General features: G+C 35.4%; 1 pseudogene; it reads right to left on the reverse strand.

Moving 5' to 3' along the window:
* Window positions 1-16711: 16711 nt before the first annotated feature.
* On the reverse strand, window positions 16712-17839 carry HNRNPA1P64 (heterogeneous nuclear ribonucleoprotein A1 pseudogene 64; annotated as a pseudogene).

The raw sequence follows: 19139 nt of genomic DNA on the forward strand, positions 1-19139 counted from the left end.
CTGGGGTTATTCAGGGCCCAAAGGCTCTTTAGTTAACATGTGATGAGTTTTGCGAGAACTGGATTCTTCCCTTCAATGTAGTGGGTTCCCTTTTGGCCCAAGATGTGTGCAGAAATGTCATCTGGAAGCTAAAGCCTTACTACTCTGTCCAGTGCCCTATCCTACTGTTGCTGAGCTGGTATCTAAGATGCAAGATTAAGTACTCTTTACTCTTCACTCTCCTCTCCGTACCGCCTGGGGTTTGGGGAGGGATGGCACAAGCACTCCCTTAGCCACACCAGCTGGTGTCTCCCTAGGTCACATGCTACCCTAGTCTACTGGCTGTAAGACCAGCCTAACACTAGGATTTACCTAGGAATTGCAATCCTTGTGTCTTAAACTGCCTTTCAAATTTACCTAGAACCCCAGAGACTTTTAGTCCTTGGTGGCAAAGCATGCCAAAAAACTTAAGTTCCAACCCCTGGGATGGGTGATTCCCCTCTGGTAAGGGCTGGTCCAAATTCTAACTACATGCACAGGCACGTGCTGAGCCCAGCACCATTTATTCTCTGTGACAGGACAGCATTGAGGTCAATGTCAATCCCCCAGTCACTGAGATCTCCCTCCTCAAGGTGCACAGAGCCACTGCTGGGGGTCAGGGGATGGGTGGCATCTGTGATTCAAGACTATCTCTCCTGCCCTCATCAATGTCTCTCTTAGTGATATGAAGTTAAACCAGGTACTGTGGTTGTTCACCTAAATTTTGGTTCTTTTGATGGTCCTTTACCGTGTGCAGATGATTGTTAAAATTCGGTGTTCCAGTGGGGAGAATGAACAGTGTAAGCTTCTATTCCACTATGTTGCTCCGCCCCAGATGAAATTCACTGTGAGTTTATTATTGACCTAACTTTTCTATGTTAATGTTTTCTGCATCTTTGAGGTTAATTAAGTGTTCCCTTTATTATCCATTTCCCCTCACTAGTTTAATAATTACACATTTTTTAATGAAGCTTTTGGCAGTTAGCCTGGAGATTATCATCTACCTTATTGACTTATTAGTGTCTTAAATAAATTCAAATTCTTACAGTTTTGTTTATCTAGTGTGATGGATAATTTCTGTAAAAACTTGGCCAGGCTATGGCACCCAGTTGTTTTGTCAAACACTGGTATAATGTTGCTGTGAAAATATATGTGAAGATTAACAATTATTATCCAGCTGACATTAAGTAAAGCAGATTACCTTTCATAAAGTGGTGGGTCTCATTCAATGAGTTAAATGCCTTAAGATAAAAGACTGAGGTTTCCTGAGGGCAAAGTATTTGTGCCTCAAGACTGCAACTTAGAAGCACTGTGTAAATTCCCATCTTCCATCCTCCCCTGCATAGTATGAATTCAAGACTGCAACATCAACTCTTATCTGAATTTTCAGCCCAACAGACTACAGATTTCAGATTTGTCTGGCCCCTAAGGTTCTGTTTTTCTGGAGAACCCTGATTAATACATCTAGTCAATTATTTCACTGGAATGAAGTGCTGGGTTTCTGATTTCTAACAGCAACAGTGGAAGCGAGGAAATGATGGAATGGAATTTTGAAAAGACACAGTGACACATATCAATACCAACTTAATATTTCATTTGTTTGTTTATTATTATTATTAGAGACAGGATCTTGCTCTGTTGCCCAGGCTGGAATTCAGTGGCACGACCATAACTCAATGCAGCTTTGAACTTCTGGGCCCAAGCTATCCTCCCACCTCAGCCTCCCAAGTAGCTGAGACTACAAATGCATGCAATTGTGCCCAGCTATTTTCTTTGCTTTTGCTTTTTTTTTTTTTTTTTTTAAACAGACAAGGTCTTTCTTTGTTGCCCACACTGATCGTGAACTCCTGGCTTCAAGCAATCCTCCTGCCTCAGCTTCCCAAAGTGCTGAGATTATAGGGGTGAGCCACCACACATGGCCTCAACCTAATGTTAGGAACAAAGTAGGTAGGTTTTATAAGAGATTGGACAGAGTTAAAAAGAGTATTAGTGAACTTGAAGACTAGTCAGTAAAAAACACCCACATAAAAGTACAGAAAAATAAAAAGAATTAACTCCAGAAAATAGCATAAGCATAGGGAACACAGTGAAAGTCTAACCTATATATATTTAGTTTCCCATAGAGAAAAAAAAAGAGAGAATGAAGAGCCATGAATTTGTTAAATATTTGGATAAACTGAATTAAGTATGTCTACTTATGATAGTATCTATAGTACTTTATGGAGTAAAATATATAGAGAGAATTAAAATATATGAAAAATAGAATATAATTCAGAATGAAGTAAATGGAGAAAGTGTCCCAAGGTGTCATTATTGCAGAGGAAGAGGGTACCACCTGACATTTTATTTTTATAATGCAAAGGTAGTTACTATTGGAATAGTAAAAATTATACTTCCTAACTGAAAGGGAAAAATAGAATAATCAAAAATAGTTATTCCAAAAGAAATAAAGAAGGAGAGAAAAAGGATCAAAGGCACAGATAGAAATTGCAGAATAAGATTGAAGAAATAAATCAACATTCATCAGTTAATATATTAAATAAAAAAAAAATGCTCAAATTAAAAAAAATCAAACTCCATAGACAGTCTATATGATAAACATACCGAATGAAAATATATATATTTATATTTATTTATTTATTTATGTAAATAGCAGCTCAGTATACCCTAGCTAAAACTTTTTAAAAGTCTAGCAACTTCTTAGATTATAAACCCTCTTTGGATAAAGATTGCATTTTACTCATAATTGAACCATCTGTGAGGCTTTGCAACATGGCATGCATATACACAATGAAACAATTCACTTGAATATTGCATAAGAGTTAATAAAGTGCAGTAGCACATTATGTCTCTCAGAACAGTCTTGTATACCAGGGAAAGAAGAACTTTTAATTTAATGAAAAAAAGAAACAAAGCTAAGAATTGGCCTGTTCAAGATTATTTAGCAAGAACTGAAACTCAAATTTAAGATGCTTTATACCTATCTTCTGTACTATTTTATGAATTAACTCTTTGTGTAATTAAATTGAATCATTTGTATCTTTAATCATTCTCCAAATGTTTCCACTTTTAAATATTTTGAGATCATTCATTCAGGGATGACTGAACACATATCTAATTGCTTCATTTACTTATGTCATCTTAATGAATGTGAATTATAACTCATTCAATTTAGTTCTAATAATTGGCACTGATGATAAAATTAGATTTATGCCTGTAGTCTCTGCTACTTGAGACAATGAGGCAAGAAGATCACTTGAGGCCAGAAGTTCAAGTGTGTTATGATCTCCTGTGAATAGCCACTGCACTCCAGCCTGGGAAACATAGCAAGATCCCATCTCTCAAAGAAAACCTCAAAACTAGCTAGTTCTTTTTCATTTGTTAGGAAGAGTCATGGCTTTTCTTGTGAAAGAACATATTTTTCACCCATGCAGCAAACCAAGAACTGCATCTTTACAGATTCAATCAGAGACAATAAGAAGGTTTGATCTGTATTAACTCCAAGCAATTGGAGTCATCCAACAAAATGGTCTCTGCCATTTTGTTACTAGCTGCAAAACAACCATACCTGATATTCTCATGGTTACTGGGAGACAGTTCTCATAAAATGGTAGAAACTAAAGACATTGACAGGGTTATAAAACTCACAGTCTATTGTGAAAGAAGAACAGTTAAAAAATTTAAAATAAACATTAAAAAGAGTAAATACAGATGACATTATCATCCCTTAAATAAGATCATGGAAAGCAGTACTGTATTTTCTAGCTTCTACAGTATGGCTAGACCTCTGATTTGGTCATTTCATGGATGATATCACATTGAAACCTCATGTCAACCTGGTAGGAGACATATTAAATGTACATGAAAAATAAGAAAACTGACATTCTGAATTATTGGTATCAATAATTTCTAGTTTTAATTATAGTAAGATTAATAATAATTGCTATACTTTAATCATTCCATTATTTCTAGGATTGGCATTTGTACTTATGCCGTTTTCACACTGCTGAAAAGAAATACCTGATACTGGGTAATTTATAAAGGAAAGAGGTTTAATTGATGGTTCTGCATGGCTAGGGCAGTCTCAGGAAACTTACAATCATGGCAGAAGGTGAAGGAAAAGCCAGTACCTTCTTCACAAGGTGGCAGGAAACAGCATGTGGAAGAAGTGCTGTCAAACAATTATAAAACCATCAGATCTTGTGAGAACTCAGTCACTATCACAAGGACAGCATGGGGGAAACTGACCCCATAATCTAGTCACCTCCCACCAGGTCCCTCCCTCAACACATGGGGATTATGGGGATTACAATTTGAGATGAGATTTGGGTGGGGACACAGAGCCAAACCATATCAGTACTCTAACATCTATGTGTGATTTGAAGCTATAGTCTGGGTTATTTCTGCCATATCAGATTCGGCAGTTGTGTTGCAACTTGGTTCTTTTGCTGTACTATTTATACATTTTTCAAATTTCTATTTAAAATTAAAATACTTATATAGCTTTATTTTTAAAGAAAAGTAATAGCAATGGGTTTTGTTTGTTTGCTTGTTTGTTTGTTTTAACCTGTTTTCCTTCCCCCCAGTGAATTAATTTTTGGTTTTGGTGCTATGTAAGTAGAACCATTAAAATAAACATAAGCCTTAAAAAAATTTGTAACAAAAAACAATTTTAACATTTGAACTATGCTTTTGAAATCAGGTAGAGGATAATAAATTGCAATCATATTTTTCAACATTCATGTTCTTCTTTTTGCTTTCAAATGCACTTATCTTTAAATAAATCAATAAAAAACAATATTTGGACAAAAGAAAACAAATTACTTCTGTTTTTATAATGTCCATTAGATAATTTCTGCACCACTTATATTGACTTTTCAATAGAAAAGACACTAAAATAAAACACAGTGAATGACAGATATTTACAATGAATCTACTCAGCACCACAATTTTATATTTGCACTCTTGATCTTAAATTTGCTGAAAATGTCAGAGTTCAATGGCACCTGATAGGAGGCGCCATGCCAAATATCACATGTAATCAATTGCATTTATTTTTCTGGAGATGTTTATAGTAACAGGGTAAGATAGTCAACATGTTTAAAAATAAAGAAAGTAAGATAAATTATAAAGAGTGGTTAGGTCTAGAACAGTGCCTGGGGGGGCGGTAGGGATTGAAATATACTTGTTAAATGAATAAATGATTGAGTAGAAATCCAACTAAGTACAAACTCACATATACACTATATTAAGCCCTTTCATTTCTTACTGCCTGACCCTAGAATAGAAGTTATTTCAGACCAGGGAAGCAAGAAATCTGAAAAGGTTTTTATATACAATAGCATGAACCTTATGCTCTTCCCTACTTTGAAAAAAATTGACAAGAGTGAATGTCTAGGTCCTCCGAGAATGAGTAAGAGTTTTTCACCCTCTGCCTGTGGCACACAGACAGCTTTCTTGGTGAAGCACTTGATCAACGGTGTGTGTGAGCTGTGAACGCCTGGGTTGCCCTGCTGAGAGCAGGGCACTCCGTCTGTTAAGGTTGTACGTTGCTGTCTGCAGGTTTTGTCAGCAGGAGCAGCGGAAAAAAAGCAAAAAGAAAATTCAACAGAGGTAATTCACAGGGGGGCGAAATGCACACATCAGTAAAGTGGAGGTGGCAGAGTGTTCCAGCATCCACTGGGAGCACTATCAGAAAAAATGAAAGTGCTACTTTGGATTGTAAGGAGCAGCATGGGGTGAACTCCACAAAGAGAGAAAATAACACAAATTGTCTACCTGTGATAAACTAGTCAAGTTCCTGGAGTAGTGGTTTCAGAACATCCTTGCTTCTCCTTTCTGGCCAATTGAATGCTTTTCAGGTGGGGGAGATTCAGAGCAGGGGTTGTATTTAGAGTAATCAAGTGTTTGAGGATAAAGCATTTGGAAATGTATAATGTGTGAGTGGTTATGGCCAGTGAACACTCACTTGGGCAAAGGCAAAGAGTAGAAAGAAAACTGCCTTTAAATACATATAAAGCATATTTTACTCTTCTAGACCTTTAAAACATGACAAGCGATTTTGGGCAATAAAAAGACTTTTTCATAGAGTCCTATACAATGTGGCATTTTGAAAGGTTGACATTCACCCCAAAGAGATTATAATAGACTATAATAAATTGCAACCCTTTGCCCTACTTTTACAGCCTGATATCAGGCAGTGCTTTCCAAATCAGCAAGGAATTTGGTATTATTCACATAATTATCCTGCTTAAAAGACAAAAAAATAGGAACCAGAAGTCAAAGGTGGGGTTTCTGTCTTGTCTAATGAGAAAAACTTGGAGTTATTTAGCTTTGTGTGCCTTTGGAATAAACCATAACAAATAAAGATATACAGTTCCTTTTTATTTTTAAAAAGCAAGAGCTTCATTATTCATGCATTCATTTAGCACATACTATTGTGGATTTTGGTATTCTACGTTTTGCATGCCTCTAATACAAAATCAAGTAAGAATGTCATTAAAATTTTAAAAAAGTATTATGAAACCTATCAACCACCTGACATTTAATTTAAATCAGACCTGCCATTCATTTTTAATAACATTTATGAATCTCTGAGGTGGAAGAAATCAATACACATTTTTAGAAAAACAAAATCAGCAGGAAGTAGAAGACCCTCAGCAATACTTTGATTTTCTTCTGGAAAAGCAGCAAACGATGTTGTTTTGTTGTTCCTATTATCTAAATGCTCCTGAATTCCTTTAGTCATACAGCAGTATGTTGTTAGAGAAACATTTTTACTAAAAAGCTAAAGCCTTCAAAGTGATTGTTTGCTGTGATCCTTCCACATCTTTACCTCCCTCTCTATCTTTCTCTTTGTGCCTTCGATTGCCTAAAAAGACAAACAAACATGTATGAAAAAGACTCTACTTTTGTTTTTCCAAGACTAACAGGAATCAAGGAAGTGAAATACCACAGAATACAGGGAGCATCTGCTGGAGGGAGATAGGTAAGGGAAAAAGCCTACTCAAATAGAGACGAAAAGGGTTGCGAGGAAGAGAAAGTGTTTGACGTGGAAGGTGATTTTGAAATATATTCTAAACCCTGAGGGTGACATGGATTGGCACGTATGAAAATAGAATTTTTATCTTAAGTGACCATAAGGTTGACTTCAATAACTAAAAAAAAAAAAAAAAAAAAAAAAAGATTTCTGAAGAAAATGGAGTTTTCCTGGCAAGAATGAAAACACTCTAAATAAAGTTTGTGGCAGATTGTTAATTATCAAAAGATAAATGTCCTGGATGTTCAGAGAGTTAATAAATCAGAGTTCCATGTAGCTTTCATAATGTAGCTTCTTTATAATTGCATAGTGAACCGTTTTAAAAGTGGATTCCAACCTAAATTCCTATTTGTATAGCCCACCACTCTCCCTGCCTGCCCTATTTTGTAGCTCAGGATTTCCCAACTTCAGCACAAGTAAATCTTGGATCAGATAATCGTTTATTGTGAGGGGCTCTCCAGCACGCGGGGATATTTTGCGGCATGCCTGGCTTCTACACATTACATGCCAGGAGCGTCTCCTTGACACGGAAATAAAGAAGTGTCCAGACATTGCCAAATGTTTCCTGGAGGGGGAGCAAAATTGTTGCCCATTGAGAATCACTGCTCCAACCTCAGTGAACTACTGAACTACTCCTGAACTAATGGATTCCTTTTTATTTCCTGAACATACATGATGTTTCCCTACTCTGTGCTTTGCCCATTCTGTTTTCTATGCTTTCGAAGGTTCCCTACCTTTCTCTGTCTACTACAATTTATGCTTTTAAGCCCAAACCAAATGTAACTAACTCCCTGTGAAATTTCTTACATCCCAAAATAAATTTGCTTAGTCTTGAAATTATATTATTACTCATAATAATTTCTATACTCTTAAAGCATTGTGTGTGTGTATGTGTGTATATATATGTATATGTGTTTGTCTATATATGTATGTGTGTATATATTGTTTTCGTTCTGAGACAGAGTCTCACACTGTTGCCCAGGCTGGAGTACTGGAGTACAGTGGCATGATCTTGGCTCACTGAAACCTCCTCCTCCTAGGTTCAAGCAATTCTTGTGTCAGCCTCCCGAGTAGCTGGGATTACAGTCTAATCCATTTTGGTACCCACATTTCCCAATATAAGATATTATACCTAGTGACATTAAGAGTAACAACCACGCACACACACCAAAAAAACAAATAGCAAACACTGCTGTCTAAAGGTGCTATTCCAAACTGTCTTAATCTGTTTAATGTTGCTATAAAGAAATACTAGAGTTTGAGTAATTTATCAGGAAAAAAAGGTTTATTTGGCTTACAATTCTGAGGGTTGGAAAGTTCAAGATTGGGCATCTGCATCTGTGAGAGCCTCAGGCTACATCCACTCACGGTGGAAGGTGAAAGGGAGTTGATTTTTGCAGAGATCATGTGGCAAGAGAGAAGAAAAGTAGGGGTGGGAAGGTGCCATGCTCTTTTTAACAATCAGATCTTGCATATAACATGAGAACCGACACACTCCCGAGGGAAAGCATTAAGCTATTCATTAACCTATTCTACCCTCACGACCAAACACCCCCCATTAGGCCCCACATTCAAATCTCAACATGAGATTGGTGAGAACAAACAAACCATGTCTACACCATAGCACAAGTACATGCTATGTACTTGCTTGTATTATCCTCACAATATCATCATGAAATATGAATTATTACTATTTTACAGGAACTGAAGCCTAACAGAAAGGACATGGTTAGTTTGAACCCAGACAATATGACTTTGGACTTACATTTTTTAACCCCTATAAAATACCAACTTCCCAAGTGAAAGAATTAATAATCGTAAAATTAAGATTGTTAAGACTGTTAAATATTTTATTTGTATAATGGGAAGATGATTTGGTATTACCCCGTGTGAAGAAACAGGAAAATGTGCAGACTACAGGGATCCAGTTTAATATAATATAGGGAACCTAATAGATAAGAAAGATACAATCCCAGAGATAGCATAAATGAAGTCCACTTTGGGCATTTGGTTTAATTTAGGGGTTAGGGTTGACAATTAACAATAAAGAAGCAAAGATTGGTCACTAAACTTAAAGAAAATTGAAAAAAATTACCTGAATTTATAGAAAAGCCTTCTTTTATATAAAACACACAAAGTAAAGCAAATAGCTTTATTGTTTTGGTTCACATCAATTCTCATGCAAGGATTGGTGGTCTAAGGATGAAAGAAAATTATGGCTTTCCCATCTCTATTCAACCTCTACAACATTTTATTTCTACAATAAAAGATATGGGAGTCCAAATATACATCCTAAATTACTCATTTTCTTTAGCAGAGTGCCTTAAAGCTCAGCTATAACAATGAGTAAAACAAATTTGAGAGTAGTAGATAGCTTTTTTCAACAAAGAGAAATCAAATAACACATTTTATAGATTCATTTATAAATTCATTAAGATTCCTATATTCTTTAAAGATCACCTCTGCAATTTCAATAAGAAGCACAAAGCTCTTAGAACAAGCTTGTGTCTGTTTAAATATAACCTTGAAATTCTCAGCAGCTCTCCCATAGTCATACATGGTTGAGACTATCAAAATCTATTTGTCCCTTAGGTACCTTAATTTGCCAATAACATGATGTATGAGAATCAATGAAATCATGTTACAAATGTGGAGTAGACTCAGAAGTTTCTTACAGATATGGAAAAATATCAAATTTAAGCTTTTCTGTGGCCATTTGAGAATAAGTGCTGCTGTTTTTAGTGCACTGAGGTTGAGCAAACTGAAAAAGGGATGCAAACATGGTTTTAAATTCATATACATTGTCAGTTGTCAGACTCTGGCTAGTGAGTAGGATGTACTAATTCAGCTATTGCTACATTAACGGTATCCTAATGTTCAATTGTTTAATTAGCCATAATGTATAATTTAATTATTTGAAAACAACTGAATAACACTTTATTCATTAAGCTAACACTGGCTTCTGGGACAGATAACCCCTTCTCTCCTGAGACAGTAGAGTAATAATAGGAGTATTTTTAGCTCATATCCTAAACCAAGCTGGTGATCCTGGTTGGGTAGTCATCTATGTGGTAATTTAGTCACTGGGATCTTTTTAGATTGTGGTCTCCCCTTCCCTGTATCATCACATTTGTTTATACTCAGTTAACGTTTTAGAAAAGAGAGTGAAAATCACTTGAGGAAGGTTTGTAGGTCACACACATCACAATGTGTACGTTTCATAGGTCAGAATTCGATGGCATGGCAACTCCAACCTGCAAGAAGGGCTAGGAAATGTAGTTAAAAGTTCTGAAGTTGAAAGAAAAGGGAACAGAGTTTGATAAACACACAGCATTCTCAGCCACGAGCATTATGAACAACAGGTTTATTAAATACTTAGCCATATGTATCATATATACATAGTTATTTTTATACATATGTAAACACAAGTACTTAAAGGTGTCTCTTCTTATATACCTCTCATTTTGACCATCCATCTATCTCAACCAAGTATTGATATTAGTCTAGTCATGTTGTTTCTGTAGGTTATTCTGGTTTTTTGTGTAATCTTAGTCTGTGCTGATCTTTGCTCCCCTTTTTCAATGTCTTGCATCTTCCCTTATGTAACTGTCCTTGGTGGTTGTACTTCCAATAACTGTATTAGTCAAGTAACAGTACCTCATCTCACACTTTAGGTTTAACAAGAGATTTATTGGATTTTGGAATCCAACAAAGGTCGGAAACCTAAACCTTGGAAAGGATAAAGACATGGCTGAACCTCAAAAACAAACAGAGCACAGGATTCTAAATCCACCAGGGCTCTATATCTAACCTATCTTTTCTTCTCTCTGAGTGTCAGATTCATTCTGTCTCTACAGAACAGCTGCTCAAATACGTCTGTAAATATTGTTTTTACATCTGAGGAAATCTACCACGGGAGAGAAACTCTTTCTTGATTTCAATTAAAAAATTCCACTTGGCTTAGTCATACACCCAACTCTGGATCAATCAAGGGCTTGTGGGAAGGTCACATAGGATAATAGCAGTTCTCGTAGGAATGAGATCCTTGTGAAATACGTGCAGCAGTTCCTTGAAGAAGTGAGGTGGGAGAAAAAGGTGATGACTGGGAGGTGGGAAGTGATGGTTTTAGAAACAAGAAGTGGTACTAGGAGGCAAAATAATAAATTTACTTCTGTAGAAACTCACAGATTTTCTCAGCAAAATTCTTAGTTCAGCTATTCTGTAAAAATGTGAAGACCTTACTGGAAACTTACTTACTCTTTATTATTATATTTTATTTATTTTCTCCTTTCTATTTTCCTGGCTCTTTTAAAACATGATTTATTTCTTTTGTATTTTGTTTTGTTTCCTAAGTTATCCTTTTAGCCTCTTTGAAGCTCCAGGCAGTATACAATATTCTACTGCCCTTCACTGCTGTCTACCAACCTATGTGATTCTTAGCATTATTATCTGAAGCTGCATTTCTCCCTTTGACCACACAGTCCCTAAAAATATACCCTTATAGGTGGGCCTTCGAACATTTTTTAATGTAACCAAATAGAAAGTATTTTACACATCGTGACTTAGTACGGACTCACGTATGTATACACATTATGTTTATATAGTTGAGAAAAGTTTTGTGGAAAATGCCTATCTTTATGGTTTGTAATGAACTCTCATATTTGTTTTAATATATTTCATTTGTAAATGCTGATCACAAGCACCTAAATTTGTTTCATGATCATCTCCTCTAGTTGACTCACTCTGGCCATCTAATCTCCTAGCGTATAAACTGTGTGGGGTACAGTGGCCAATGTCATCTACAGGCCCCAATGGCACCTGCTAAACATGCAGATCTGATATTACCTAACCTGCTCCTCTTGGACGTCATAGAGTGTCTATGGCATCATCAACCCTAGAACCACTGGAGCATTCCATCATCAAGAACTGGAACGCCAAATTTCTGGGTTATAGTCTATCCACAAGAAGCTAGTGATTACAGCCAAAGTAAGTTTTAACACTTCCGGAATGAAGAGCTCTCTGAACCTGAGTTTTCTTATTTATAAAATAGTAGTAAAAATGATGCAGGGCCCTTCCCCAACAGAAACTAACCATCTACAATGTAAAAATCCTGAATAGTATGTCCTAAACAGCATGGCAACAATCATGAATAAAGTACCACAAAGTAGCATGTGTGCACCCTACAATCTCCCTGCTTGGAGGGGTTACTTATTTCTCTACTGTTTTCCAGTAAATCTTCATTGTAAGTTGCTTAATCAAGACTTGATGAAATAATAAGACTTTACCAGGGAGAGGGGCAATGGGCAGTGGACATTCCAGACTAAATGAACATCAGAACAAATAACAAGTCGTATTATCATGTTTTTCACTTTATACACATATCATTTGAGGACTCCTCAGATGGGATAATAACAGTATAATAGTAATAATAGCAATCACATACGCTACAGTGACAGAGTGCCAGCTATTCCACCTGCTTTATTTAATTCTCATGACAACCTTTGATATGGGTATGATAAATATTATTATCCCTGTTTCGCAATGTAGTTAGGGCACGTTAATTTGCCCAAGGTCATACAACTAGAAGTTTTGGAATTAGAATTTAAACCCTGGTCTGTCTCATTCCCTGGTAGGATCTTTTAATCACAGACCTGTTCACTTTCTCAGCTCCCAGCCACCAGGCTATGATTCATCATTTCCAAAGTTGTTGCTACCGTAATCAATGATACACATGTTTTGACTGTTACATAGAAATTTTTGCAAAGCAGCTCTTTTAGTTGTTAATCATGTTTCCTTCTGTAGCTGGATTGTCCAATATGGCAGCCATGGCTAATTAAATTTAAAGTAATTAAAACAAAGTAAAATTAAAAATACAATTGTTCATTTGTACCACCTATATTTCAAGTGCTTAATAGCCACACATGGCTTGTGGCTACCATCTTGGACAGGATACACGTGCGTGTGTGTGCATGCACACACACACACACACATACATGCATTTCCATTGTTATGGAAAGTTTCTAGGTGGGTTGCACTGAAGAACACTTTGAGGCACAGACATTCAGACCATTACCTATGCTCCCTGAGTCAATTTAATATGATTTCATTCTATTTTATTCCCTCTCAGCTTCCTTAGTTCATACTCATGAAAATTAATTTCCTATATCCTGAGAAAATATCAGCTATTATAAATTTATATTTATATTTTTTGTATGTATTTCATTATTAGAGGTATTATAATTAATAAAAAGGAAAAATAAAACTAATTTCTAAAATTAATCAAACATTTATTTAATTTTGATTGTCACATTATAGCGCAGTTCCACTAAGTCATCAGAAATGAGGTTATTGTAAATGAACATCTTGGCTGTGTCTGTACAGCTTTGGTATGTTTGAGTCACTCATTCTTTCTTTATCTTTCATCAAACTTGCACTGAGTGACAGGTTGACACAATGATTACATAAAAATATGATCAAGTAACCTTGGATCTCATAGGCATTACTAGAATGTGCCCTCAATGGGTTAGCATTTTCATTGGCTTGTACTTTGCTATATCCCCATCATCATTTGGCATATAATAAAAATCTCCAAAATACATTTTTGAATGAGTGAATGAAATAATGTGGATTAAAAAAAATGTATACATGTGTGCGTGTTTTAGCCATGAAAAATATGGTAAAAGAAGCTGGCCAAAATCCTAACTCCATTCCTTTTGCCCACTCCCTGTAGACATGGTTTTATTGTAATTCAATTTTAAGCAAAAAAATTTCTCGCATAAAAACTTCAAATAAATCTCAAACGTGTTACTTAGCTTCTGCTTTTCCTAATAGGTTTAAAATGTAAGCTAAATTATAAATTGAAACAGCAGGCCTAAAATTAGATATGAATTCCTTTGTGGTACTGGCCATCATACTTCACATATCTGATTCTGTAGAAGCATTATTGGAATTATGCCGGGGTGAACCCCAGATGTTCAAGCAACGCTCACTTTTCCAGGCAAAATTAAAATACAAACCCTTCATTCTGGCAGCCGAAATGCTTAAAGTTGGCATGAAGCCTCTCAGAGACTAATGAGAAAGACAAGAATGATAACACTACATCGAGATTCTATTTCATTATTCATCCCCTACTCTCTATGGAGGCTTTACAAACATTAGCTAATGCTCAGAAATATCCCTGGGAGGTAGTTTATCATTGATGTCTTTGTCTTGTACCGTGGAAACTGAGGCACAAGGAAATATGAAATTATTTGAGCAAGTTCATCTAAAAATATATCAACTGCAAAAGACTAGAAACCACATTTTAAAAAATGTCAAACTCTTGACACAGTCTTTCTTAAAGTACTAAATATATACAGAATAAAATGTTGTAATAGCCAAACCATTTTTAGGTTTGGCTATTATTTTAGATCCTTATAATTTGATACATACAGCTATACTGAAAGGAAGAAAAAGTTGTTTCTTAATTCCTCTTCCTTTGGGGAAAGTATGGTGATATAACCTGGGAATAATACTTCTTGTGTAATACCCTAATGAATTGTTGGCATTAAAAATAATGCCCCAAATTATTGATAAGACCTTGGCATGCTCTCCAATTCACTGCGTGGCATTTCACCATGTTATTAAATAATATTAAAATATAATGTTAACAATATAACAATATTCCACAACATAGCTATATTATAGTCTAGATAGTTGTTTATCATTTTTTGGATGTGTAACTCTGACAATATTTACTAATTTAAATAATGCTTCAGTGACTAACCTTGTATATAAATCTATTCTACTCTCCAATTATTTGTCATATAGCAGATTCCTTGAACCGAATGCAAAGGGCATGATTCAAAAGAGAGAAATTATTAACACTCTTTCAATATTGCTAATTTTCCCTTCTAAAAGGTAGTATCAATTTACTCACCCATTAACAACACAATTGGGTTTACTTTGAGGCACTTTCTCCAAACCTGAGTATAAATATTTTTCAAGCAAATATTTCTAAATTTTAAAGATAAACATTTGTATATCACAGATTGATGTGTGACTGAGTGTGGATATTTAACAAATGTTTAATACCTCCTTTCATTTTACCTTTAAAGAACAACTCTAAAACAAGCCTAAAGCAAATACTGGAATAATTATGTACTTGTTAAAAGAAATGAACTGTTATTAAACTACTGTACTAGTTAAATGTTATGAGGATAATTATAATAATGGACTTTTAACATTTTTTATTTTATTTGTAAAATATGTGTGCTATTCATTGACATCTATGAGGTGTCTTCAAGTATAGAAATTACGTCACTGGACCTCTTTTGGGATGTCATGGTAATAGAAGGAATACTCAGTAGGAGTCCAATACTCAGTAGATGTCCAAAATATCACATACCTATGAATTCTGGGTATGTGATTTGGTATGCTGTCAGATTTTAATCAGATAGTTTAAAATTTTTATACTTTCAAATGTTTAATTGAACAAATTATAAATTATTTATGACAGTACTCCTATGAAGTAGATGTTATAACACCTACCTCGTAAGACTACTGTCATAAATAAATGGGCAACATATGAAGAGGTACCAGGCATGTGTGGCACACAGTAGCCGCTCAATAAATATAAGACATTTTCCTCTTGTCATGGATTTATTTAACTTCAATAAGGCTTTGAGCTGTTTTCCCAGTGGAACTAATAAGTTTTTCATTATTCCATCAAGTATCTCTAATCAGTTAATCTCATTAGCACAATAAACAAATTATTTCTAAGACAGTTTGCTAAAGCCTAGAATCCTATGTAGAACCATGGAACATATCAAAGCCAGTCCTCTGATACAAGAATTGCACATCTACCTATCTTTGAGAAAATCATATGCTAGCCAACTAAGCCATCCAATTAGAATCACTCCAGTGGATTTCAATTATAATTACTCATTCAACAATTTTCTGACTTAGACTTCTATATCCATCTCTCTAAGATCTCTCCATCTAGCTCTTTTTGGGAAAGCAATTCAGTAAGAATAAATGAACCAGTTTTTACTATTTAATTTATTATTGATTTTTTGCTTAATTTATCATGTGACAAATATTTAGCACTGTATTGAAAAAATTCATCTGTAATTTCTTTCTTTTTGTAGACATCCTGTAGCTCTTTACATCTTAAGATACGGCTACGTATTTTAACTGTCTCTAGGTGTATGTTGATAAAGACACTATAGGACTGCTAACTTGTACCACTATATCTATACCTCTGAGAGTAATAGAATTCTTGGTGGGGGGCACATGGCACTGAGAATAAATAATATGCTTTATTTAAGATACTCTGATTTGGGGTGTTTGGCAACTCACAACAGAATCTAATTCTAATTTATCAGTCATCTGAAGAATATAATTGTTAAGTGTATTTTAAATTCATTCTACATATATCAGTTTTTAACTACTAAACACAATATTCAAATCAAAAATTTTTTAAAAAGACATATTTATTTAGCATCATAATTACATTTAGCCATCAACAGCATGGGTGCAAAAAATATCTACATTAAAACCCTTTGTTGGAACGCTTTACACTTTCCACAGAACAGAAACTAACATAACCTGTTATACAATTAGTCACAAAAACAGTCCTTATGTTTTTTGCCCATACACATGACTATTGTCTCAAACATGTCTTCTTTGTAGCAGCTAGGCCCTGCCACCACTGTGCTTGGCTGAGTTCACAAATCTGTGGTAACCTATTGCTTCCCTGTCGCTTCTCTGGCTCTCCTCTCCTACTAAGCTGTGTTTCCTGGCAGTAATTAAAATCTTCTGCCACTTCCATAGTTATTGCTGCTACTGGAACTGCCATAGCCACCGTGGTTTCGTGGTTTGGCGAAGTATTGGCCTCCACCCACACAGGGGCCAGAGATACTGGCTCCAAAGTTTCTTCCCTTCATCGGTCCAAAATTTGAAAACTGATTGTGATAATTGCCAAAATCATTGTAGCTTCCACCACCTCCAAAACTGCCTCCATCATCACCAAATCCATTATAGCCATCCCCACTGCCACCAAAGCTACTGAAGTTTCCTCCACAACCAAAGTTGTCATTCCCACCATAAACACCTCCACGACTACCACCAAAGTTTCCAGAACCATTTCGACCTCTTTGTCTGGATGAAACACTAGCCATCTCTTGTTTGGCAGGGCTTTCCTAACTTCATAGTTGTGGCCATTCACAGAATGGTATTTCTGAATGACAATCTTATCCACAGAGTCATGGTCATCAAAGGTTACAAAGGCAAAGCCCCTTTTCTTGACACTGCCTCTGTCAGTCGTAATTTCAATCACTTCAATTTTTCTATATTGTTCAGAATAATTTCTTAGGTGATGTTCTTCAGTGTCTTCTTTAATGCCACCAACAAATATCTTTTTCACAGTTAAGCGGGCACCTGGTCTTTGAGAATCTTCTCTTGAGACAGCTCTCTTTGGTTCCACAACTCTTCCATCCACCTTGTGTGGCCTTGTATTCATGGCTGCATCCACCTCCTCCACAGTGGCATAAGTGACAAACCCAAAGCCCCTGGAGCACTTGGTCTTTGGATCTCTCCTTACCACATAGTCCTTCAGTATTCCCCATGGCTCAAATGGTCCCTCAGGCTCTCATCAGTTGTTTCAAAGCCCAGCCATCCAATGAAAAGTTTCTGCAGCTCTTCAGGCTCTTTCGAAGACTCTGACTAGACATGACAGTAGTAGGAAGAGAGACTTGAACGATGCTTCCTCAGCAGGTGGACAGAAAGGAGTAAGCTAACGAATCTCAAATCGGATTCGTTAGCCATTTGTTGATTGTTAGAAGTTCTATGGCTTGTTTCTGCAACTGAGAAACATTAGCTCTGATCTCTATGCCAAGCAATAATTTTTAATTGCATAACAACATTCTGTCCACCAAAAATTCTCACAAAGTCTCATGATCAGTTACTCCTCACAAACTTTTCTAATATAGTTAGTTAGAATTCTCTGTGTCTATAACCTAGTAGAAGGTATTGAATGGGAGAATTTGGCTTAGGATTTATGATGTATTCTACAATCTTCAGAGAGCTTTGCAATCATTGTCCACTTAATGAACACAATAGCCATGTAATGTAGGTAAGTATTATTATCCCACAATTGAGTAAAATGAGAGGTTCAGTGTCTTGCCTTGGGTGACAGAGTTAGCACGTAACAAATTAGAGATTAAGATTTGAAAATTTCTGACCCTCCATGTGTTGTATTTTTTTCCATTCTCTAAAAAGCAACTACATTCTATTCTGGAAGAAGTTTAATTTCTGTAGAGGTTAAAATTATTCCTGAATATGAATTTTTAAATATATTTTAGGCCTTTGAATTATCTATTTTATGGAACCCATATTGCATTCGCATGTAGTTTAAACCTTCCAATATTAACTGATACACATAATCCAAAATGAATAATTCATTCATTCAACAAAAGTATTACAGATGCTTAATAATACCATAAAATAGCTGGTGCTAAGGCTAAAAAGAGTCAATAAGCCAAGGTTCCTACCTTCAGTAACTTCTTTGTCATTAATACTTTATGTTATAAAGAAACATAAATATTAATAAAATATGTATATTTCACATATATGTTTAATATCCCCAAAATAATAATTTATGCTAGAGAAAATTCAAGTAATCTTTAAAACCTATCCAACTTAATCAACATGCTATGTTTATTTTGCTTTAGATATAAAGGAGCTTTCAAGTCCAGTTCACTGTAGTTAATAAACCAATATAAAATTGCAAAGACATCAGGTTTATCCATAGTTACACAAGTTAAATTGAGAAAAATTTTATTAAAATAGTGTTTTACAAAATATAGAGTTTAGTTCCAGGCAAGAAATTATTTAAACACAAAAAAACTTCAAGTCAAAGAGTGTTTTGTATGACTATATATAAACACTAAACTTGTGTTCCCTAAAATGTGATGTTTTCTTTGTGTGGGAAGAATTAATTCACTTTGTCTCTACGCTACAAAGGAGTGAATGTCACAGGAGAAAAGGCTTGAATTATTATAATCCCTAAGAGAAGTTATTGTAGATGATATTGGATAAGATG

This window comes from Homo sapiens, chromosome 1 (genome assembly GCF_000001405.40).
Source record: "Homo sapiens chromosome 1, GRCh38.p14 Primary Assembly".
Taxonomy (NCBI): domain Eukaryota; kingdom Metazoa; phylum Chordata; class Mammalia; order Primates; family Hominidae; genus Homo; species Homo sapiens.